The sequence below is a fragment of the Homo sapiens genome, chromosome 7 (assembly GCF_000001405.40).
Source record: "Homo sapiens chromosome 7, GRCh38.p14 Primary Assembly".
In the NCBI taxonomy this organism is placed as follows: Eukaryota; Metazoa; Chordata; class Mammalia; order Primates; family Hominidae; genus Homo; species Homo sapiens.
This window is the reverse complement of record NC_000007.14, coordinates 107,740,146-107,763,148: the sequence shown is the minus strand read 5'-3', so window position 1 is coordinate 107,763,148 and position 23,003 is coordinate 107,740,146. Positions and strand designations below refer to the sequence as shown.

The following is a 23,003-nucleotide window of genomic DNA, read 5'->3' as shown; positions in this document are numbered from 1 at the left end:
ATTAAATACATTTTCTCTCATGGTTTTGTATGTATTTTGGTAATGTATTTTTAAACATTAAGATTTATGTCCTGGCCACAATACTTTGAATATAAGGAAAATTTTTGAAGAAAATTTAAAGACGACTATCAAGAACAATTCCTAAGTAAGTCAGAATGTAAGCTCCTAAAGGGCAGAGACCATCTATTTTGTTCATTATCATACACCCACATCTAACATATATAATAGGTATTTAACTTTATAAATCAATAATTCATATATATGTATCTTTATGTATATCCTTCCACAAGTCACCCACTTCCCACTTCTTGATACCTGTAATGTTACCACCATCATCTCTTGTGTAAATTATTAAAACACCCTACTAACTGGTCCCTCTGCTTCCATCTTAGCCTCCTTTGTCTTATCACACAGTCAGAATAATCCTTTTACCAAAAAAAAAAAGTTTTAACATTTTTAAGTGAATAAATTTTTTTTAAAGAAGTCCTACCCAATTTGGAGAACTAAACCCATGACTTATTATTGTTCGTTTCAATCCTGTGCTTCTACAGTGCCAAAAAATACAAAATTTTTAAAGATGGGGATGTGGGAAAATTAAGCACTAAAGTGTTAAGAATTCTGCCTTAAAACTTTTTCCCTCAATGATGGAAAACTGAAGGGACATGAATCAAAACAAGGTGTTTAAAAATCCAAATTAGGTTTTATTAGCATCACTGCCAAGTATTTTACCTGGCTTATCTCCACTTCTCGTTAAGCCTAGTGTATCTGATACTGCTTTGATTACACATATACTGTATTAAGCAAACTGATTGGTTTCTAGGCCATAATTTAGCAAATTACAAACCAGTGAAGAGTAGTAAGTCCACTTCAATCAGAATATAGTATGTTTATATTAGTATGAAGAGTAAGTCCACTTCAGTCAGAATATAGTATGTTTATATATGCTTAACATCAACATACTAATTTGACGGCTAATCTAATGAAGAAATATCTTTGAGTACTCATGCACTTTTTTCATGTACTCATAATATGGGGCATTTTCAAAAAATGAAAGACGGAACTGTAGAGTTTTCCCAAAAAGATTACAAAAGATACTCTTCCAATATATTAGTCAGAACAAAGCCTTCGGCAGTTCGGTATACTTCATACAGCCTCTTATTGACTTTAAAAGATATGTTCAAGTATCTCTTCCATTTACATTTCAGTGGTATCTAATTAGTATTTACATGATAATTTTGAGCAAGTAGTTTTTACAAGGCAAAATGAATATAGTTTCTTACAGTCTTTGCAACAGATATTTCCCCAAATACTGTATTATACTCTGAATAAACATGCCAATGAAGAAATATGACATTCAACTTGATGGTTTTAATCTTTTAGAAGTGAACTTACTTTTACTGTAGAAAGTTGTATCAATATAAACATGGAAAATTCTGCATTCTCCCAGATGTGCCAAAACATAAAAATTCATCTAGGCAAAATAGTATTTATGCTTCCATTTTATTGTTTTTAAGAATTAAACTGCCACCTCAGTAGTCTTAAGAGCAATATAATGAAACATACATACATTTAATTTAGACTTATGTCCATCATAGCTTCAAAGGCTTCCCTGAAATAAGGCTGGGATTCACATCTTTTTCCGTAAGGAAAGAAACACTAACAGTAATTTTGTTATCCTTCTACCCACCCACCCTCATTCAAACAATTGATGAATTCAAGTCTAACACGATTTAAAACTTTTGTCTGCTACAACATTCATCTGATATGCCTCCCTGCATAACATAGATTTCTTAAACCTAATTGAAAATAAATCATTTTTTAAAAACTCTACAAGGGTTCTCTTAATTCAAAATTTTATCATGATACTGATTTTCTCGTCCAATACATAGGCTAAGTGGTTTCTTACCACATTCAACTCTAGTGACTTTCAATAAAAGCAGGATAGCTCTTCATAAATAGTTGAGAAGCTCTAAAGTGATTTTGGCTATTTTCTTATTACATGGAACAAAGAATGGTTTGGATTTTTAACAGTAATATTTTAATAGCTCCTAAACAGGGGGATGAAAAGGAATCAAGTTTGCACCAGTCCAAGTACCTACAGTAATATGATAGAAGCACTCACCACCATTTCACACTATCACTCCCATGCTTTTAATAACAAGCATTTCTCACTAGAAATATTGCATTAACACTGGACTTTCAAACTGCTAAATGTAGAAAATCACTTGCCTGACTTAAAACAAAAAAGTTTATTAGTTATTTTTGGCCAGTCAAGGTTGAAACGGCCATTTTGTTATTTCTAACTTCTGCTCTAGGGTTCAGAAATGATTTTGCATCTGATCATTCAAGATGAGAATTTGTTTCACCTGTACCTGACAGAATAAAATGGTAAATTAGCAATCAGATCACCCTTTGTCAAAAGAAGTATGTTCTAAATGTATACACTACAAACTATCTAATAAATGATATCTGCATACTACATATTTCATGTTTTATTATGCACCATTTTAGTGGGGAGGAAAAACTTCACAGGGATTTATTCAAAGGATATAAATAATATCCTAAGAATGTTGATTTATACATATGAGTTCTGTATAAACTGTTAAGTGGTCATCTTAGCTAAACTATAACAAGCCCCTATAATGTAAAAGCTGACTCGAAAGGCACCATGTAAAGCACTGAAATCCACAATTTAGCTGTTATTTCCTCTTCTCCAATACAAAATTATCTGGTAGTCTTCACTGTTGACTCCATGATAAAATGTTCCAAATTCAGACTGCTTTACCGACAAAAGGAATAGGAAATAAAAGTTTTTAAATTTCAAGTTAGAGGAAAAATCCTATCACACAGCAATGAAACCTGAGCAAATGCAAATTTGTGATTACAAGAATATGTCCTTCATTAATATATTATTCAAATTCCTCCATGGCATTCAAACTGTAGTTGAAAATCCTATAAACAAGAACCCACTTAAACACAGCATCAAACTCTACCATGAAATGAAGAATTACATAAAGCCTATTCAGCCCTATTCAGTTTAAGACAATGAACAAAACAGAACACATTTCATCTAAAGAACACCATTTAAACCCATTTAAACAGTTCTATAAAATAATGTTACTTAAGATCAGTATGTGTGGTGCATATGTGATTCCGACCATTCAGTAAAAAAGCATTAATGAGTAACAGCATTCCCCCACCAGCTTGAAGCCTGTAGAGTTGATTATTTTGGCCATCTCTTTCCAAATAATTAGTAATGTCTTTTAACATTACGAACAAATATATCTTAGTACTAGAATTCCAATGTATTTTGGTGCTCCTGAGGCTGCCTAAAAATGAAAAGGCATCCAAGTGAAGTGCATTGTATACTTACTATACCTCGAAACCTCAACATTTCAGTGCCTAAAATGTGAAATAATTCTCTATCATTTAACAGTCTGCCTTACAGCAAATTCTAGTAGATTTTTACTTTCAGGATTTTATTATAACTTTGGGAAATTAGTGGTAAAACATATGGTTTAAAAAACAGTATGTGGCTGCACTTAAATTCACATAAAAATAGCATTTTTACAACCATATTGAAATTTAATCCTTTTACACAGGTTAACAAAATGTATCACAAGAAAAACTAAACGTTGGGTTTAACAAAACAATACTTTTGAAGTAAAACAATGAAAAATTTTTTCAAATTTTTTACAAATGGTCACCTCTGGGTCAATTTACTAAACTAGGGGAACAAAGAGATGTTAAAATATAGCTGTGCTCAACTGAGCCACTTATCTGTACTACAGTATGGTACTTGAAATCAATCTTAAGGTCAAGATTTAAAACCATTTTAAGAAACAAGACCCTATGTGTTTTATACTACCTCGATAAGAGGTACTCTTCCTTCCCAAAACAGTCAAAGCTTAAAAGATTGACTACACATAAGTTTTTTTCCCCCTCATATCTTCCATTCAAAATACTATTATCATTGGTAATACGGTCTATATCTTGTCTGATCTGGATGATGTGGTCCAGGAAGTGGGGTTTGAGAAGGCGGACCCTGCAATCGTGGAGGTGGTGGTGGCCCTCTTGGTGCAGGCCATATACCAGGACTCATTCCCCCTGGTTGTGTAAATGGAGGGCTCAGAGTTCCTTGATCTTCAGTGAACTGGGGTAATGAGTTAGGATTATAATGGTGAGGAGGGGGTGCAGTTACAGGTGGACCACCATGTTGAGGTGGGGGAGGTCCTGGAGGAGGATGATTCATATAAGGTGGCATCTGGGCAATAATATGTCCAGGGGGAGGGGTTATTGGTGGTGGAGCAGAGGTCATTGGTGGAGGTGGAGCTTGGCTATATACCAAGTGAGGAGTACCTGCAGCCTGGGGAGGATGTGGCATTGGATGGCTTATTGGTGGTGGAGGAGGTGGGGGTGGTGCATAATGTTGCTGTGGAGGCATAATATGATGAGGGTGCGATACCACTGGTTGACCCTGATATTCAGGATGATGGTGAGCAGGTGCTGGGGCAGGAGGTGGTGGTTCTCTAGCACCTGAATTTGAGTCATCCTGAATAGGGACGGTTATTAAATTGCTGTGTTTTCTTGTTGAAATACGAAAGGTTTCCTGACTGACCGATCGAGGTGGAGGTGGAGCCATGGACAATTCTGCTGGAGGAGCACGAATATCCTCATGTGGCTGATTATAGTGCTCATGTGGCACATGTTGCAAAGGAGGTGGTGGCATCATGATGTGCTGCTTTGGCGGAATATGGCTCATATGGTGCTTGTCTGGTGGCATTATAAAACGCTCAGGGATTTCAGTTGGTGGTGGGGCAATAGGAGGATGAACATTTTCAAGTGAAGCACGGGTAACAGGTTTTCCAGCTCTCATATGGCGATGGTTGATATGAGCCTGTAAGTCTCTCTGAGACAAATATGTTCTCTTGCACCCTTGAACAATGCTACACATGAAGAGAGAACCTCGTGTACACTGCTCAATTCGCTGCACAGGATCACTACAGCTAAATTAGAAGGGAAAGAAATGTGATTTACTAAAAGAGAATACAAAAAATTATGTAATTTTCAAAAATATGCTTGTTTTTAAAATTTGACTGTTACATAAAACATAGCAAAAGTCCACAATTAGAAGTTACAGTTATTCTACGCAAACCTTTAATCTTCCCTACTTTGTTGTCTGTTAGCCATTAAGATAGGCATTTCTGTCAACTTCAGAACTCCTAATATCAAACGGTATGTTTCAAGAAGAGACCTCATTCTTCCCAAGGCCTAGAATTTATCCAGTTTTCTCAAACAATTGTACCTTCTGCATCCATTTGCCAAAAAACCCAGCAAGAAAAAAACCAACGGGTAGATTACTTACAATCATGGAATTCAAACTAGTATGGTATTATTGAGTGATAACTGTTTGTTGAGCAAATAATACTAAGTGGAAAACAGTAAGTAGAAGACATTGCAAGGACTACAACAAGTAACATCAGCCTCATCATTAGGGTTCTTAACATTAAACAAACAATTTCAATCCAAGCCTTGACTACTAAAAGTCCTTTAAAGAAGGGTTTTTTCTGAACTGTCAGACAAATTTACACTTTGCTAACTTTCTAATTTGTGAGCACTAAATTTAACTTAACATTTTCTTAAAAACTCAGGGTCAAAATTATAACTATTTTTCATTTACCATATTTAATCCATAATTGCCATTACAGCTTTCTTGACACAGTGGGGAAAGAGGACTGAAATAGGAATCTGAAGATCTTGGGATCTGGTATTGGCTCAGTAATTTGAAGTCATTGAACCATTTTTGAGTTTGTTTCTTCATTTATACAATGAGGTTAAAGTATCTACCTACTTCACAATGTTTTTATATCTATTTCATATTACCTAAAAGAATATTAATATCAAATGAAACAATGAAAGTGACAGTATTTAATCCCCAATTAAGCACTATATATAAATATATGTGTGTGTACATATATAAGCAATTATCATTGAATATGTGTGTCAGGTCATTTGACACTATACTAAATGGCTCTATACTCTTGATTTTGAGTTGTGTCTATCTTTCCATCCTTACTATAAGGCTGGCACTCCTTATTGATGTTATTATGCTTCCCTTTAGTGGCCATCTGGCACACTTTTTGCTTCTAGTTCACTGTAAACTCCGAACTATCTCCACCTTAACAAGATGTGAAGCACTTTCTCTTGGGTGGTGCTTAAGAACAGTAATATATACTGTTTAACTCTGACTGCCATTTCTTCACTTCCTGATCTGGGTCTGTTAATCCAGATAGGCTTCTGTCCTAAAATTGCTACTAAGGACCACATAAGTGAGGTGTGACATTTAGTACTTTGTTACATTTAAGTCCATTAGTAAGGTTAGTACATTAGAATATTCAGTACATTAGTTACATTTAGTACCTTGGGAAGTAATTTCTTTAAACAATAAGTACCTTTTAATTTCCTTTTAATACTTATACAAAAGAGGAAACCTTTAAAAGTCCTCTAAATAATGTTTTATCACATCTGAAATCCTTTATCCCGATGAAGCAATTAAATTTACTATGTAACTTAAAATGAATGTATACCATGCTGAAAAATTAGGCCTGAGAGAAAACACCCAAAAAACAAGTGATATGTATTTCTAATGTCTTAATTCTTCTGAATTATAATTCTATAAACAAAATATTTTTTAAATTCATAGAACAAATGTTATAATCTGTTACTTTAAAATGCTAATAAAAACATGCCAAGAGAATTAGTTGTCACTGAGCTGTTAATAAATCACCCCTTTCTCTCCTGGTGACGTCAAATTTTCCTACACCATAAAAGGGAATCATTGCTGACAAGTGTCCACAGCTTTGTTATCAATCAATACCACAAATCTTGGTATAGCTTTAAGCACAGGTTATAAGTGATCTAAGAAGCCTATGGCTACTCCAAGCAAGTATCTTTCATTCTTTCTTAAGCCTTCCTTATCAACGATTCTGAACTGATATAAAAATTCTTATTCTGTTTTCTTCAAGACCATCCCAAAATGGACCTAGCTTTTTATAACTTGTTTGAGACTATGTAATGATGGTGTTCTAAGACATACTCCAAATACAATAATCAGATTTGAAAGTAACAAGAGCTTATATATACAGTGCTTACTATATGCCAGCTACTATATATATGTATCTGTGTACATATGTTATATATATATAAAACCTCATTTAATCCTAAAAATACCTCAAGGAGGTAGGTACTATTATCAGTCTCATTTTATCAATAAAGAATAGCCTATGACAGTAAAACAGCTAATAAATAGCAGAACAAGGATTCGAACCCAGGAATTCTAATTCTGGAGTCTTTGCTCTCAATATATCTTAATACTTCTTTAATGTCCCATTAAAAAAAGTAACTTTTTTGTTTATAATAATACTTCTATAATGGCAAACAGATTTCATTTTGACCAATTTGAGTTGACTGATAGTGGCTACCTTGCCCTATATTAAAGAGAAACCTAACACAAGCTGGGCTCACAGAAAAAGATTAGCCATGTCTGTATGTTTCATCTCCTGCCTGATTTACATCACTCCCTAACCTTTAATCCAACTTATAAATCATTGCACTAAAACTTTATTATTTAAAAAAGGTAATGATAATCTTATCTTACCCTGGACACATCTTATCTCCCTTTTTTTCATGTAAAATAGCACAGTCATAGCAAAAAACATGCTTGCATGGAATCTGTAAACAAAGACATATTACAGTTAAGCATATTAGAACTTATAATATTTTTAAAATATATATATATAGTAACCTATACATAAGGCTTAGAAGACACTTGAGAATACCTGTTAAAATGAACATTTATTAAGTACTAATTATAATAACCTTTTTCAATCACAAAGCCTTTTGAGAACATGACAAAAACTATGGCTCTTTTCCCAATAAATGTACACACATGCATTTGCTTATACTTTCTGGAGGTGTAAACCCTATAAATTTCACCCATGGTCCCCACACGTTTTTTTCCTTTTTTTTAAGAAACAGATCTTGCTCTGTTGCCCAGGCTGGAGTCCAGTGGTGTGATCACAGCTCACTGTAACCTCAAACTCCTGGCTGATGTTCCCACCTCAGCCTCCAGAATAGCGAGGAACACAGGTGTGTGCCACCACAGCAGGCTAATTATTTTATTTTATTGTACAGACAGGGTCTCACTAAATTGTCCAGGCTGGTCCCAAACTCCTGGCCTCTGGCAATCCTCCCACCTCAGCCTCCCAAAGCCCTGGGATTATAGGTGTGAGCCACCACACCCAGCCCCCTGCAGGTCAAAAACTCCTGAAGAATACTTTTAATTATGTGTGTTTTTTTTTTAATCTTGTTTCTCCTGAAACTATTCCAATGCAGTAAAATAACAAGTATGTCCTATATTTAACGTAAGCAGCATCTTCCTCTGGTAGTTTCAAGTTAATTAACTAATAAAAATCTAAAAATCAATCAGAAGGATACATTAAATGATGTTAGAAGCACATTTTTAAATTCACAGCCTGTTACTATTTCTTTACTATGATGTTCAGCAAAGCAACACTGCATAATCCATGCCATCTACCATCACAGGTATGTTATTGAATTCAATTTTTTTTTTCTAAAGGCAAATGCAAAACTATCTTTTTTGGAGGGAAGAAATGTGAAAATTACTATAAAATTACAGTTAGGATTGTAAAATTTTTTTAATGATTATAATTCAATTTTCAGAAATAATAATTACTATTAAGCCTCTCTGAGCCTCAGGAAAAAAAGAGAAATTATAAATATTATTAATGCAGTTTTATGTAAAAAATTGTGGCCTTCAAAAATAAGCAGTTTTGTTCTATTTATTAAGAAACAAAAATTTCCTTAATAAACTAGAATAACTGTAAATTCACTGGTATCAAACACTCCAAAGGAATTAGTTTTCAGAAATTATTCTAATTTTCAGTTTTATTTAATATTTTATAAGAATTCAACAATTTGTCAAGATAATCATATTAAATTCATAGTATTCCAATACTTCCCTTAGTTATTTCATACTTATTTAAAATTTTGCAAACTTAGTCATTAAACAATGATAAACCTATCTAAATTTCAGAACCCCACCTCTATGCAAATGCTTACTTACAAAAACAATATTTAATTATACTTACCATTCTCCCATAGATTTTAATAGGCAATCCACACTTGTCACAGAAATGAACTGGTGTATCATCCTTTTCACCTAAGATGTTTATCTGTTGAAATGATATAATTAAAATTACCTTCTTACACAATTCTAAAGATTGTATCTACACAATGAATTGGTCAATATTTTATAAAAGTTGTTAAAACAATTAGAAATAGAAGCCTCTTGGTATAATCTCCATTTATTCCCCACCATTAGTTGTGATACCATTAGTTTTTCTTCTTAGTGTTAACAGTTATTGATTTTACTGAAAATTACTTCAAATTATTCTTGAAAATAGAGTATTAACAAATGATTTGTATGTGCTGAAAATCATAGTTATAAGTTCATAATATTCTTAATGTACTGTGCATTACTCCAATAAAACATTTTAAGTATTTAATACTTAAAATATTTTATTGTTATAATACAATTTTTCATTTTTAATTATACCTGAAAGTCCCAAAAAAGGTGTCCAGGAAATCTTCGCTGATTTGCAAACAGCTCACCCCCTTTACAGTCATACCGTTCTTCTTCATTATAATCAAATCCTTCTGAGAAAAAAAAAGTATTGCCCATTAACTTTCCAAATCTCAAATTTCATTTTGGAAGCACATATACATGGCAAAATAGACCTTTTCACTAAAAAGCTCATCTGATGCCTTTCAAAGCTTTTCTAAGAATAAGACAATCAAGATTACTTTAAAACATCAGTTAGAAGTGATCTTGGTGATCTAGTCCAACTCTTTTACTTCATTATTGAGAATATTACTGTATGGAGACTCATAACTCAACATATAGAAGATAAGTGGCAAAGCCAGGAACAGACCTCAGATCTCTTGACTCCCATTCAAATGCTCTTATCAATTCATGAAACTATTTCTAATGTAAAACTTTACTGATGATCATGCTTGTTGCACAAATTTTTAAGATATTGATCACCATTTATTCTAGTCTAGCTACAAAAATGGTATGCTAAGAGACTGATTGTATTGCCAATAGCATAATGAAAACATAAAGCATTCTATCGATTTTATTAGCAAACAAGTTATCCTCTTCTTTAGCCCTAAAATGAGTGATTTAGACACTTTAACATATTCATATTTCATCCTGTCAATTAAAACCACTCCCTGATTAATTACCCAAACAACAGGAGCCATATCGTATTCTCATGTATCCTTTCCTACAATGCATTTATCAATATCAATAAACTTAAGATATATGAAGATGAAAGGGGCTCAATTTCTCTGGCCTAATTAAAAAGTTGATGGCAATCTTCTCAACTCCTACAAAAGAACAGAAAACCAATCAACAGTCTGATGGGAATTCTAGGTAGAATCCAATTACCTAAAGTAAAGCTGAGCAGACAAATATATCCCTCCAAGGAGCCAGGCTTCTCACGACTCTTTTGGCCCTAGAACTGGTAAACAGAGTAGCCAAGCACACAAGTTTTAACTTTACCCACATGACTAAATTACAGCACCTATACACAGACACAGACACACACACACACACACAGAGAGACACATTCACATTAACACACAAACAATGATGCAAGAAGTTTTTGAAGCTGATAGACACTTCAGTGTACTGCTATTTAATTACTGCCAATACGAATGTATAATCCAAAGTCAGGATGCTCTTATAAGTTACACCTGAGTGTTCCTAGGCTCCTATATCACCCATTTACACCTTAGAAAAGCTGGTGTGATCTAAAATTCAAAATAAGGAAACTCAATTAATTTTTCTTTTTTTTTTTTTTTTTTGAGACAGAGTCTCACTCTGTCGCCCAGGTTGGAGTGCAGTGGCGCAATCTCCGCTCACTGCAAGCTCCACCTCCCAGGTTCATGCCATTCTCCTGCCTCGGCCTCCCGAGTAGCTGGGACTACAGGCACCCGCCACCACACCCAGCTAATTTTTTGTATTTTTAGTAGAGACGAGGTTTCACTGTGTTAGCCAGGATGGTCTCAATCTCCTGACCTCATGACCCGCCCGTCTCAGCCTCCCAAAGTGCTGGGAAAACAGGCGTGAGCCACCACACCTGGCAGAAACTCAATTTTTCAAACCAGAAAATTATTGAGATAACAGCCAAGGAAATTAGGAGCACATTATCATTTTTCAGAGTAGTTCCACCTGTACTCCCATCATTAAACTATATATATTTTGATTGATGCCTAGGAAAACAACAATCAAAAACAAACTTATTTTACTCCAAAATCCGAGAGGGAAAGGAGAGAAAAGGATTTTGGCTTTTCTGCATTGTTTGAACTATTAAAGAATTATTTGTACACTAACGTGTTGTTTTAAAAAACTATTTTTTTAAACAAAGCCAAAGCAGGAGTGACCCTAAATTAGAGGTAGTGCAACAGCAGCCCTAGGTTATTACTAACACGATTTCTAACATTTTGACTTGAAATATACTTGTTTAGATGGCAGAGGAACCCTACGATAAAAGAAACCATAACATATGTTGTAACTAAAGCAGTTTGATTCTACAAAATAAATACAGACAAATTGCTGGAATAGAACAGAAAGTCCAGAAATACAAAAAAATACTTTTAATACAGGGGTCCCCAACTCCCAGGCCTTGGACCAGTACCCTTGGCCTGTTAGGAATGCGGCCACACAGCAGGAGGTGAGGGAAGGGCTAGGGAGCATTACCACTTGACCTCTGCCTCCGCCTCCCGTCAGATCAGCAGCCTCATTAGATTCTCATAGGAACGCAAACCCTATTGTGAACCGTGCAAGAGAGGGATCTAGGTTGGTGCTCCTTACAAGAATCTAACTAATGCAACAGTTGCATCCCGAAACCACTCCCCGCACCCTGCCATCACTCTCCACCTGTGGAAAAACTGTCTTCCACGAAACCAGTCCTGGTGCCAAAAAGATTAGGGACTGCTGCTTTAACATATATATGATAACAGTAAAATCCCTATTCAGCAAGGAAAAGAGTTGGGACAATGTTTCGAGGGAAAAAAAAAAAAGCCAGACCCCACCTTTTTTCCCCTTAATAACCATAAATGTTCTAAAGCAGTATCAGTGAACTTTTTCTGTGAAATGCTAAATAGTAAATATTTACGCTTTGTGGACCATATGGTCTCAATCACAATTACTCAACTCTACCATTATAGTGTGAAAGCCCCCATAGATAATACTTAAATGAATGAGCATAGCTGTGTTCCAATAAAATTGTTTATAAAAACAGGGCTACATTTGGCCCACAGACATAGTTTGCTAACCTGTAATCAAGGGTAAGATGGAAAAACTCTTTTATACTGGTGAAATAGGGGAAGGCCTTTCAAATAATGTCACAAAACCCAGAAGTCATAAAAGCAAAGACCGGATATCTGACTATATAGAATCTTCAAGATTCTCTGCAATAACTATAATCCCAGCACTTTGGGAGGCCGATGCGGGCGGATCATGAGGTCAGGAGATCGAGACCATCCTGGCTAACACAGTGAAACCCCGTCTCCACTAAAAATACAAAAATTAGCTGGGCGTGGTGGCGGGCACCTGTAGTCCCAGCTACTCGGGAGGCTGAGGCAGGAGAATGGCATGAACCTGGGAGGCAGAGCTTGCAGTGAGCCGAGATCCCGCCACTGCACTCCAGCCTGGGTGACAGCGCAAGACTCTGTCTCAAAAAAAAAAAGATTCTCTGCAATAAATATTTTGTATACAAAATTCAAAAGACAAATGAAGAATATATACAATATAGGCCAGGCACAGTGGCTCACGCCTGTAATCCCAGCACCTTGGGAGGCTAAGGCAAGAGGACTGTTGAGTCCAGGAGTTCAAAACCAGCCTGGGCAACATAGCAAGACCCCATGACTACAAAAATTAAATATAAAAAATTAGCCAGGCAGGTGGGGTGCACCTGTAGTCCCAGCTCCTCAGGAGACTGAGGTGGAAAGATCACTTGAGCCTGGAATATCAAGCCATGATCCCACCACTGCATTCCAGCCCAGGCAACAGAGTAAGACTCAGTCTCAAAAAAACAAAAACAAACAAACAAACAAACAAAAAAATATATATACACACACGCACATACATAACATATAACAAAAACCCTATTAATTTACAAAGAACTCAGAAGAAAGGATCTAAACAAGAATGGTCAATGCTATGAAAAAATATACACTCTTTCATAATTAAAATAAATTTACATCAAAACAAAAATTTTAAAAGGTTTCTAGTACTCAGTATTGGTGTATGGCAGTAAAAACTAACATACCTTTTTATTATTATTTTTTTAATTCCAAAGCCTTTAAAACTACAAATTTGGATATTTTAAAACTTGACAGATACTGTGGATTTTAGAGTTTGACAAGTACTGTCAAATTGCTCTTAAAAAAAAAAAAAAGGCCAAATCTGTGCAAAGTACAAATTCTACAAAGTATACATACTAAACTGTATGTCCAAGAATATTTGGTGCAATGTTTTTTGTAACAGAAAAAACTGGAAAAACTGTTAAATAAATTATGGTATATCTATAAATACCCAAACCTATTTTTTTAATGAGGTACATCTGTAAGTACTGATAAGAAAAAAATCTCAAATGCATATTACATGAAAAAATGGCAACTACACATAAAAAATTAATACTTTTGTATAAAAAAGTCAACAGGGATTATCTTTGGATAGAAGGATTTTACTTTTAATGTTATGCTTTCTGCAATACTGTTGAGATTACTGAACAATGGGCAGTATTGCTTTCAACAACAAAAGGAACCAAATCAAAAAATATTTATAAAGGAAAATAAAAATACAATGTGCTACAATGAGAAGTCAAACAAGAAGGTTGAAGAATGAATAGAATATGTAAGACAAAAAGAGGTAGCTATAAGATCACACAGACTGTCCGAAGCAATCAGATAAAACAGAAAGAGTGTTGGACCTATTAGTTAAACAAATTACCTTCATCACCAGGTGGAGCCTTTGCAGGCATCCTGTTTATAGTTCTTTGAGTTCGCGGTGCAGGTTTCGCTTTGTTTGCTTGTTTGGAGATGAGCTTTATAGGAATTCGTCTGCGAACATCAAGACCACCCAAGGATCCAGAACTATTAGTGCCTTGTAACTCATTGTCTGTGTTAGGAAAAAAAAGTTGTAATTTCTTTTAGTTTTTCTTTTTAAAGATTATTCTGCCACAGGTATTAAAACACCATACCTAACATTATCAAGGTTAAAGATCTGGGTTCTGATTTTCAATATTACATTAAGTTTAACTGCTAATTTTATTTATTTTGGATCAACACTTAAGGCAATGCTTTTTAACCCCTTTTGAGATACAGAATCCTTTAAGAAATTGATAAAAGTTATAGGACCTCTCCCTAGAAAAGTGAATAAAATTTTTCATATAATTCCAGAGAAGTTTACAGAAACATGAAACCATTAATGAACCCAAGAACCATTGTCTTGAACTACAAGAGAATTTTTTAAAAGAAAAAGAGTAAGAAGGAGAAAAAGAACGAAAACCATCCCTGTCTCCATGTCTGATCATCAAGCATGCAAAGCAGAAAATAAATTTAGTAAACTGAACTTACTAATACTGATGAAGGCAAAATTAAACAATGCGTTTGAAAATGAAGTTAAGAAATGTGATTATTCCTTAAGCGCAAAATAATTATTCTAAAAATCATTCAGAAATATAGTAAAAATCATTATACCATTTAGTAGTAAAAACATGCAATAATGTATTTGTGCTATAACATGTGACTGAGTTCTTAGTCAGCACTGTAATGGAAAATTATAATTTAAGAGGATGCAAAGTTCCTATACTACAACTAGGTCTAAACAAGTGTCACTTTCTAGTCCCTGGAGTCTTTGCTTGTTATTGTCTATAGAATAAATTAATTCTTGTCCCATGAGTAACAGGAGTATTATTTCATAGAACTGACTCCATCTAAAGCTTAAGAGTTACCTTTTTTCAAGTAGATGAAAATATATAATACAGAAAATATTTAACTTGACCTACTAAAGAAGGAAAATGCTTAAAATAGGAAATACAAATAACGTATTTTTTAATTTGTAGTGTTTTAAACATGACAAGTTATTGAACAAGGTTGTATAACTGCCCCTGCAGGAAATATTACAGTCAAGACTGATAGCCAAACCATCCACATTAAATTCAGCAAAGCCAAATTTGGAAGTAGTAAGCTAGTACCAATGGCCTCCAAGGCTACTAGGATTACAGACACACAATAAGTTCACATTCATTTGCACTTTTTCTGAACAAAATACCAAACAAAATTAAAAATGGGTCCATAACGATTATTTTAATCTACTTACTACTCTTATAACAGCTAATCCTAAAACAAAGAGGGGTGGAATTACATGGTTAGCTAGAATCTTGAGTTAGGGTTAACCCAACTTGATCAGCTTTCAACACTTCATTAAATAGACTCACAAGCTGATTAATGTATTTGATCTGTTTTCATTGTAGTTGCTTATGTATGTAAAAGTACTTACAAGCAATGCATTGGCCAAAAGAAATATGAATGACTTTTTTCCTTGCTCAAAAAGTATTCCTGACATTCCAATGAACTAAAAAGCAAGTCGTTGTAGACATATAATCAGTTCAATGCTGTCCCTCAAATATTAAATATTCAAATATCAAAATGGTTTAATCGTTTTACCTTTGTGAATAATGAAAATACCAACACTTCATTACAAGTCCTTTTCACACCATCCTGAACACTTGAGGTCTCTACTGTTGCTTGCATAGTCTACCACTTTCAAGAGCTGGCTGGCCCTTCCCACTCTGCTTCACAGATTCAAGTTCATGAGGTACAGCATTTAATAATGATAACATTCTGGGTTTCTTTGGGACTTTTTTGCTTTTTGTTGTTTTTAAATTAAGAATCAGAGCATAAAGCACTATTTCCTTTTGAATACAGTAACAAATTATAAAGTCCTTAACAACAAAAATTTCTTAGATATTACATAGAAAGTGACTAAGGACTACTGGCCACTTCAGATAAATTCACTTTAAAAAGGCACAACACTTCCATATCATATAGTTTAAAAAAGATTGGGGATTTTTTATCTTGAATAAAAAGAACCAATAAATATTTTACAAAATCTGGGATCTTTTACAAAATCTGGGATACAGTTACAGAAGTGCTAATTCTTAGAATGACCAAAGAATAAATCCAGTGTTAATGGGGAGCCCCTTGGAGTAATTTTTCTGGCAAGATTCTATTAGAACACCTTCATTTTCACATTTGAATGTTTCGGTATGATCATAAAATGGGTCATTTTTGCATAATGTTCAAGGGTTTCATCTGTTTCCCCAAGGACCTCTTAATCCTTTAATATTACAATTATTCTTTTGAGATGCCTATCCTGTCATGATTCTTCAATTATCTAGCTAAGTGGCATTTCCTCATTTGTCAAAGCCTTTGTGATTTAAACAATTATCAAATTCATGTTTACGAATTTCATGAAAACCAGAATCTTCTACAAGGTTTATAATTTTATTTCACAATCAGTGCACAGTATTTGATACTGTCTTCTGATACTAAACATCAAAGAGATTGATTCATTTAAAAAAAATAAAATAGGTAAGAAGCTAGTGTTAAGCAGAAGGGACATCTGAGAGGGAACTAATTTTTTAAGTGGTCAGCTCATTCGTGAGTATTTTCATGTTAAGATGAGTTTTACTTCCTTAGGCAATCTCTAAACTTCAAGAATTAAGATAATAAACACTCTTTACACTCACCCCTATTATGATTTCCTAACATAATAGCCTCTAAACTATGGCAGGAACTTGACTCATAATTCCAGTAGTGGGCTCAAATAAGAATTACTTTCCTAAAGTTGAATGTTTGCTATTCTAACATCAAAATCCCAGTTTCAACTCTATAAATTCCCAAACACTGGAATTCTTTACAGCCTCGTTCTAGGCCGGCTTCTCCTCTGAACACACCCTTCTTAAGTGGTCTCATCTGTCCTCATGCTTTAAAATACCAGCTATAAATAAAGGTACTAACTTCCAAATACGTATTTTCAGTGCAGATCTTTCCTCTCATCTCCACTTGGCATCTCTCCTGTGTCTCAGTAGTTATCTCACACTAGCAGTCCAAGACCAAACACTTGTTCCCAAATTCCCGTCTCACCTCTACAAAAAAAGATTGTTTTCTGCCCCAAGTTTTCCTCAGCTCAATAATGGACCCTACCTAGTTGCTCAAACCAAAAGCCTAGGCATTTCTCCTTTCTCTCACATTCCTTCAAACACCACCAGAGTATTTACTGAAGCTGCCCATTCTCCTTCATTTTCACCAAACCAACCTTCCCTTCCCGTCTACTGCAATCAGCTATTTTCCATCATTCTTACCTCCCTCTCTTACACCATTCTTCATAGAACAGCCTATTGTATTTTTTAAGAGACTGTGTTCCTCCTCCACTTCTGTTCAATGGCTTCATATTCACTTAAATTAAAATTCAAACGTTTACCACGGCTTTCAATGACCTGAATGATGTGCCTGCTGCCCTCCTTTCCAATCTCACTTCAGGACTCCTACCCTCTGGCTATTAGGAGGCTGCAGCTGACTTCACTGTATCTTCCTACCTCAGTGCCTTCGCACTTGCTGGAAATGCTCTTCCTCTTGCTTTTTTCCCAGGGCTGGGTTCTTCTCATCCATCAGATCTTAGCTTCCACAAAGACCATTCCTAACAACCCTCTCTGAAATTTCGTCCTATGAATCTCTCCACAGCACTCGTTTATTTTCTTCAAAATAATCCGCAAACATTAAAAAAATAATAAATTTAAAAAAAAAGAACGTATTGTCTGTGTTCCTCCATAAAACAGAAGTTCTATCACGGACCTGGTCCGTCTCGTTTACCATTCCATCTTCCATCTCCCGACCTATAGATATCTGCATGTATCTTGCATAAATAAACATACACACCTACATAAATAAACATACACACCTAATTATATAACCAAGTAGATATCTGATGAGTGAGGACAACTCAATACTCAAGAAAAAGCCTTTTTTTCTCTATTTGTGATACGGTCGCTATAAATGTATGGGGCACATAACTCCAAGAGCACTCATTCAATATCCAAGAACCACAAAGAAGCAAAAGCCAGAAAATACATAACAAAGGGTGGAGCCACTCTTACTTGGAGAAAAGTATGAGAATGCCTTGATTTTAAACTCCTCTTTGTAAATACCCTCAAATGATGAGTAAGGACCTCAGCCGAAGCGCGGGGCATGCTTTTGGTTTAGGTAGAAAAACTGCTCCGAGTTTGATTCCAAAAACTCTATCAGACTCCCTTCTTTCACCCCTCTAGTCCATAAAGGATCGGAGAGACGACAGGGGGTGACCACTGCAGCACCCGCCCAAAGCTGACTGAGACAGCAGGAAGTCTCCAACCCATTCTCGCCCGTCCACTCCCAGCGTAAAGAGGATTCCGCGACTCGGAGACCGCAATCTACCCGCCAGTCTCCATAACGTAGGCCAGAGCAGCTGGGCTAAATAAAACAGAGCCGGGGCTCTCCCTTCCCGAAGGCCTACATCGCCCACTGGTCCGGGCTCGGAGCTCAGCAGAACCAGAGTAGGAGCGGTTGTTGCCGGCACGGAGGAGGTAGGTACCACACCAGACGGTAGGCCAGGAAACCGCAGGCCCCTGCCGGGCACAGGAAGGCATCTGTGAGATTTCTTCTCACTGCCACACCCTAGTGTTGTGGGGCGAGCATAATCCCTTTTGCCTGCTGTGCGACCAGCCCCAGGCCGGCCAAGGGGGCTTGGAACCGGGACCCCCACTGCCTCCGCCTCCTTACCAGTGTGATCCATGATTCGGCTCGCAGAGCACAGTGGGAGCGGAAGTCAACCGCGCCGGAGTCGCAGCGAGCGCGTGCGCACTGCCTTCCGGAGGCCGGGAGGCGGAAGTCCAAGCAGGTTGTCCCAATTTTGGCCTGCAAAGACTTCCTTCTCTCGCCTCTACTATCCAACTCCTGTGAGGGACTCAGGCATAGTTCGGGCGGAGGCAGAAAGAGCGAGCGCGCGAAGAACTTCGGTATTGAGGTTGCTAAGGCTTCTCCTCATGTGCTTCAAGAGAAAGTAGCCTTTAACTGTGGAAAGGACACCAGGGGGACCGGGGAAGGGGAGAGCAGTGGTAAAAATGAGCCAGAAGCAGATAAGGCGACTGCCCGCCCCGCGGAGAGCTGCCTTCTGGGACTTGTAGTGCGCGGGGCCCCCGGAGCCGGCTGGCTGCGCAGGCTCGGCCGTTGCGCTGGCCCCACCCCGGCGGGCGGAGTAACGGTTTGGAATCCCCCGGGGTCAGCGAGCGCTTGTTTCCTCCGCCTGGTGTAGCAAAAGTGTAAACACGCGCGCTCCGGAAGGCGCCCTCCAGTGGGAGGTTGCTCAGGGGATGGCGGAGCTGTGAAACTCGGAGCTAGAAGGAAAGTCTCAACGCTTGTCTAAATTTTGCTTTGTCGTGACGAGCTACCTAGACCCACGCAGAGCTAACTTGGTATATGCCCCGGTTCCCATCTCTTAAGTCTCTTTACAGTTGAAACACGTTTATAATGCTTGACTGCCACTCACTTTCTAGGGAGAGCGCTTGTGACGCTACGAACCTCTCGAACACCTGACGACTGGGCGCCAGGGCCGGATGGAGGGTGGAGAGCCAGTGCGGCGCAGCTGCCTCCTCTTAACGGGGACACCTTGCAGGAATGTGCGGAGTGGAGCTAACGGGAGCGGATAGAAACCGAGGGAGGGGAAGAGAGCGCGAAGGCTTGGCCGGAAGGAGAGGTTAAAAAGGAAAGGCCTAAAATGAGGAAGAGAGTTACCACAACAAGCAGTACCTAGTTCCAGTTCTTGGTCCCAGGAGTTTGTGGTTGTTGCTGCTTTCATCTTCCTCAGCCAACACAAAAGGAAAGTGCCAAGGGGCGATTCCTAGGACCTTCAGTGCAGTCTCCACCTTGCGGACTTGGCTCATTTGTGTCCACTCCTTTCTCCAGCCTTTTACACTTGATGCTCTTGGATGAATAGAAAGGAGCACAATTAATGGAAAACACAAGCTTGGGAGTCAAGGGATTTGGGTTCTATTCTTGTCCTCCCTTGGTGACGACATCATTACCTTGGGTTATTCAAGCTTTCAGTGCCAGAGTTCCTATATCAATAAAAGATTATTACATTGACCTCTTAGAGAAATGTTTTCATGGTACTGAATTGCAAATAAAGTATGTGTAGCGATGTGTTATATCTTTGTAGTTGTACGGTATTATTTGTGAATCATGCTGTGATGATCAGTGCGATTTAAGTGCACCATGTTATTTGGTGATTATTTTCCTGAGATCTTGTAAAAGATTTTTCTGCTCTATATATGCAGCTTTATAAACAAGTTTTTAGGTACATTCACAACTAAGGACATTTGTGAATCAAAATTACCCCTGCTTTTTTTAAATGTAAAGTTCTGTATTGCTAGGTGGTTTTCAAGATGCTTTCAGTTTCTGGGATTATTGTTTTGGGCATTGGGGCTTGCCTAACCTTTTTCCCATACCTCCCTATTTTTCTAAATACAGTGTTGATATAGTCAGGCATTTTTCACCAATTTGGGTTTTTTTTTTTTTTTTAAGTTTTCACTTAGAAAGTACTTCTTTTTCATATTAAAAAAATTTTTTTTAGAGATGGGGCAGCCCAAACTGGAACACAATGGCAGAATCATAGCTCACTGCATCCTTGGACTCCCGGGCTCAAGGGGTCCTTATGCCTCAGCCTCCGGAGTAGTTGGGACTACAGATGCTCATCACCACCACTGGCTTTGATTTTTTTGTTCTATCATACTTAGCCTATCAGCTAACGGTTAACCTTCAGATTCATGGAAATCCAGGTTCAGAATAGTATTATTAATGTCTGCTGATGCTAATATTTAAATAATTAGAATTAAAAAGAGCTTTCAAATTGTATTTTATATAATTTAACCTGTAAGTTAGAAGTTTTGTTGGCATTTTATGGTGCATCAAGAAAATTTACTGAGAGAAGATGTACTTACTTTAGATCTGATAAAATGTTAAACATTTGTTTGATTTGATTTGACATCTCTTACTTTCAGGCATTGCTTTAGCATCTGTGGTCTGTATTTACCCCCTTAATTGTGGTTGCCTTGAATTACCAATGCAGTAGCAGTGTGATAAATTAATTTCTTTACCTATGTTTTATTACTGCCCTCTAGTATCTCTTTTCAGCGACCAGCGTGCTGTAACCAGTCACAATTTCTTTATCAAGAGTTGCCATTAATATTTATTTATAGAGCATAAGGTTTATATTGCTTATATATAAGCTATATATAGTTTAGGTGCTGACCTAAGGTTTATAAAAGTGAAAACTTACTGTAATGGGCAGTCTGAAGCACTGAGGTGCACCTTTTTATCTTACTGGCAAGACCATCTACTACCTATGAATTATAAGGTAGTGGTCTCCAAGATGTTTTGATAGCCTCCCATTTACATAGTTACTGTTTATGCTATGAGAAAAGTAAGAGGGGTATCAGAGAGCTTGTTTTCCCCAATAGCCTGTTACGGACTCCTCAGTACCAAGTAAGGACAAAAACCTTCATCTCCTAACACTCTTTCAACTGTATCCCACTGAGTGCCTGCCTAGGACTGCATAAGGCAAAAGCTGTATAAATAATGGCCCCTACTTCAAGGATCCTACAGGATATCATTTTAAGAAATATGTGAAGATCTATATAATTTAGTTCTAAGTGTTGAGAGGAAATTCAGTGCTACTTACATTTAGATAAAGTAGTGGGACTGAGAGTAGTTAGGTTAGCTTTATGGAGGGATTTAAGCTGAGCCTTATGTGAATGGATAAAATTTGGAGAGGAGGAGAGCAATAAAAGGCATATCACACAGAGAAAAGCAAGGGCACAGATGTGAGAATTGTATGGTTTCTATAGAGGACAGTGAAGAGCTTTATTTGTACTGTTGATCCATGTTTGGGAGTTCTAAAAAAATAAGTTATTATGGAGCACCTTGAAAAAGTAAGATTTCAGAGTAACAGTAAAGAAATAGAGCATTTAACAAAACCCAGCATAATATATTCATAGAAACAATATAATCCAGCAAAATATATTCAAAAACAATGAGCAAATCTTAACTTGGGGTGGGGAGATGAATCAGTTGATGAACAATCAGTCAGAATTAAAGTGTAATACTATTACACCTAGACCAAGAACAATTGACCAGGAAGCCAGCGATACCTATGATAGCCAAAATGCCATGAAGTATGAATGAATTGTTAGTAAAAAAAAAAAAACGGATCCAGGTAGTGTCCAGTATATATTAATACGTTTGATAAGCAGAAATGGAAAAGGCAGTAAAATATCCTGGTTAGATATATGCCTTATCAAGCTATGGCAGCCAGCTTTTCAAACACCATGAAAAACTGGGCAAGAGGCAGATTCAGAGAATAAGAGGGAAATAGACTGTAAAAACAGAATGTTGCTGATTGAAGGCATTGTCCCGTTCCTGTCTCGAAGGAGATTCATTCTCGTTGAGGCCTGGCAATATATGTACTCATTTGAAAAGGAACCTTTTGATCTAGAGAGGTCCTGCAGCCTTCCTTCTTTTCTGAGAAGGAAAATTTTGTTGTGGATATCCTTTGAGCTGGATAGACCTGTCCCTCCCTACAGCTTCTTTGCTAATATAATTGCCTCCAGTTCACTCCTAAAAGAATGCTTAGGGTATTAAACTGCTCTGTAGTAAGCAATTAGTCTGTATATTGTTTCCTAAACTTAAGAAGGCTTTTGTTCAAGGGCCCCTGACCCTAACCTCAGCTGCCACTCCATGCCAGTTGAAAAAGGCTT

The 23,003-nt window shown here is 36.7% G+C and overlaps 1 protein-coding gene and 1 long non-coding RNA gene across 13 annotated transcripts, besides 6 other annotated features; one reads left to right on the top strand and one right to left on the bottom strand.

Moving 5' to 3' along the window:
* Positions 1–1,481: 1,481 nt before the first annotated feature.
* Positions 1,482–19,007, bottom strand: CBLL1 (Cbl proto-oncogene like 1). 9 transcript variants are annotated; one of them, NR_024199.3, is made up of 7 exons: positions 18,973–19,007; positions 14,102–14,269; positions 10,532–10,604; positions 9,638–9,738; positions 9,171–9,254; positions 7,658–7,731; positions 1,482–5,006 (listed from the first exon to the last, which is right to left on the bottom strand). NR_024199.3 is itself a non-coding variant. In XM_017012643.2 (6 exons), exons 1-6 carry the CDS (start codon positions 18,837–18,839, stop codon positions 3,971–3,973), a joined length of 1,596 nt encoding a protein of 531 aa, XP_016868132.1. In that variant the 5' UTR covers positions 18,840–19,007; the 3' UTR covers positions 1,482–3,970. The 9 variants fall into 9 exon arrangements, 8 of the variants coding, with proteins under 8 accessions (XP_016868132.1, XP_047276811.1, NP_079090.2 ...); XM_017012643.2 differs by lacking the exon at positions 10,532–10,604 and having other exon boundaries at positions 18,707–19,007; XM_047420855.1 differs by lacking the exon at positions 10,532–10,604 and having other exon boundaries at positions 9,638–9,735; positions 18,707–19,007.
* Positions 18,533–18,712: an enhancer, noted in NCBI's record as "active region_26496". NCBI's record gives its function as "activates an Ori minimal core promoter by ATAC-STARR-seq in GM12878 lymphoblastoid cells {active_cell/tissue: GM12878}" and the evidence as "EXISTENCE:reporter gene assay evidence [ECO:0000049][PMID:35858748]".
* CBLL1-AS1 (CBLL1 antisense RNA 1) lies at positions 18,568–20,396 on the top strand. Of its 4 annotated transcripts, none has more exons than NR_144537.1 (2): positions 18,568–18,776; positions 19,746–20,396. It is a non-coding gene; the product is annotated as a CBLL1 antisense RNA 1 (long non-coding RNA). The 4 variants fall into 4 exon arrangements; NR_144540.1 differs by lacking the exon at positions 18,568–18,776 and adding an exon at positions 19,011–19,090; NR_144539.1 differs by lacking the exon at positions 18,568–18,776 and adding an exon at positions 19,091–19,216.
* Positions 19,063–19,282: an enhancer, noted in NCBI's record as "active region_26495". NCBI's record gives its function as "activates an Ori minimal core promoter by ATAC-STARR-seq in GM12878 lymphoblastoid cells {active_cell/tissue: GM12878}" and the evidence as "EXISTENCE:reporter gene assay evidence [ECO:0000049][PMID:35858748]".
* Positions 19,323–19,522: a silencer, noted in NCBI's record as "silent region_18541". NCBI's record gives its function as "represses an Ori minimal core promoter by ATAC-STARR-seq in GM12878 lymphoblastoid cells {active_cell/tissue: GM12878}" and the evidence as "EXISTENCE:reporter gene assay evidence [ECO:0000049][PMID:35858748]".
* Positions 19,323–19,898: a biological region, named in NCBI's record as "H3K27ac hESC enhancer GRCh37_chr7:107383696-107384214".
* Positions 19,380–19,898: an enhancer, noted in NCBI's record as "H3K27ac hESC enhancer chr7:107383696-107384214 (GRCh37/hg19 assembly coordinates)". NCBI's record gives its function as "activates a minimal SCP1, AML or CMV promoter by ChIP-STARR-seq in primed H9 embryonic stem cells {active_cell/tissue: H9 hESC(primed)}" and the evidence as "EXISTENCE:reporter gene assay evidence [ECO:0000049][PMID:30033119]".
* Positions 19,899–20,418: an enhancer, noted in NCBI's record as "H3K27ac hESC enhancer chr7:107383176-107383695 (GRCh37/hg19 assembly coordinates)". NCBI's record gives its function as "activates a minimal SCP1, AML or CMV promoter by ChIP-STARR-seq in primed H9 embryonic stem cells {active_cell/tissue: H9 hESC(primed)}" and the evidence as "EXISTENCE:reporter gene assay evidence [ECO:0000049][PMID:30033119]".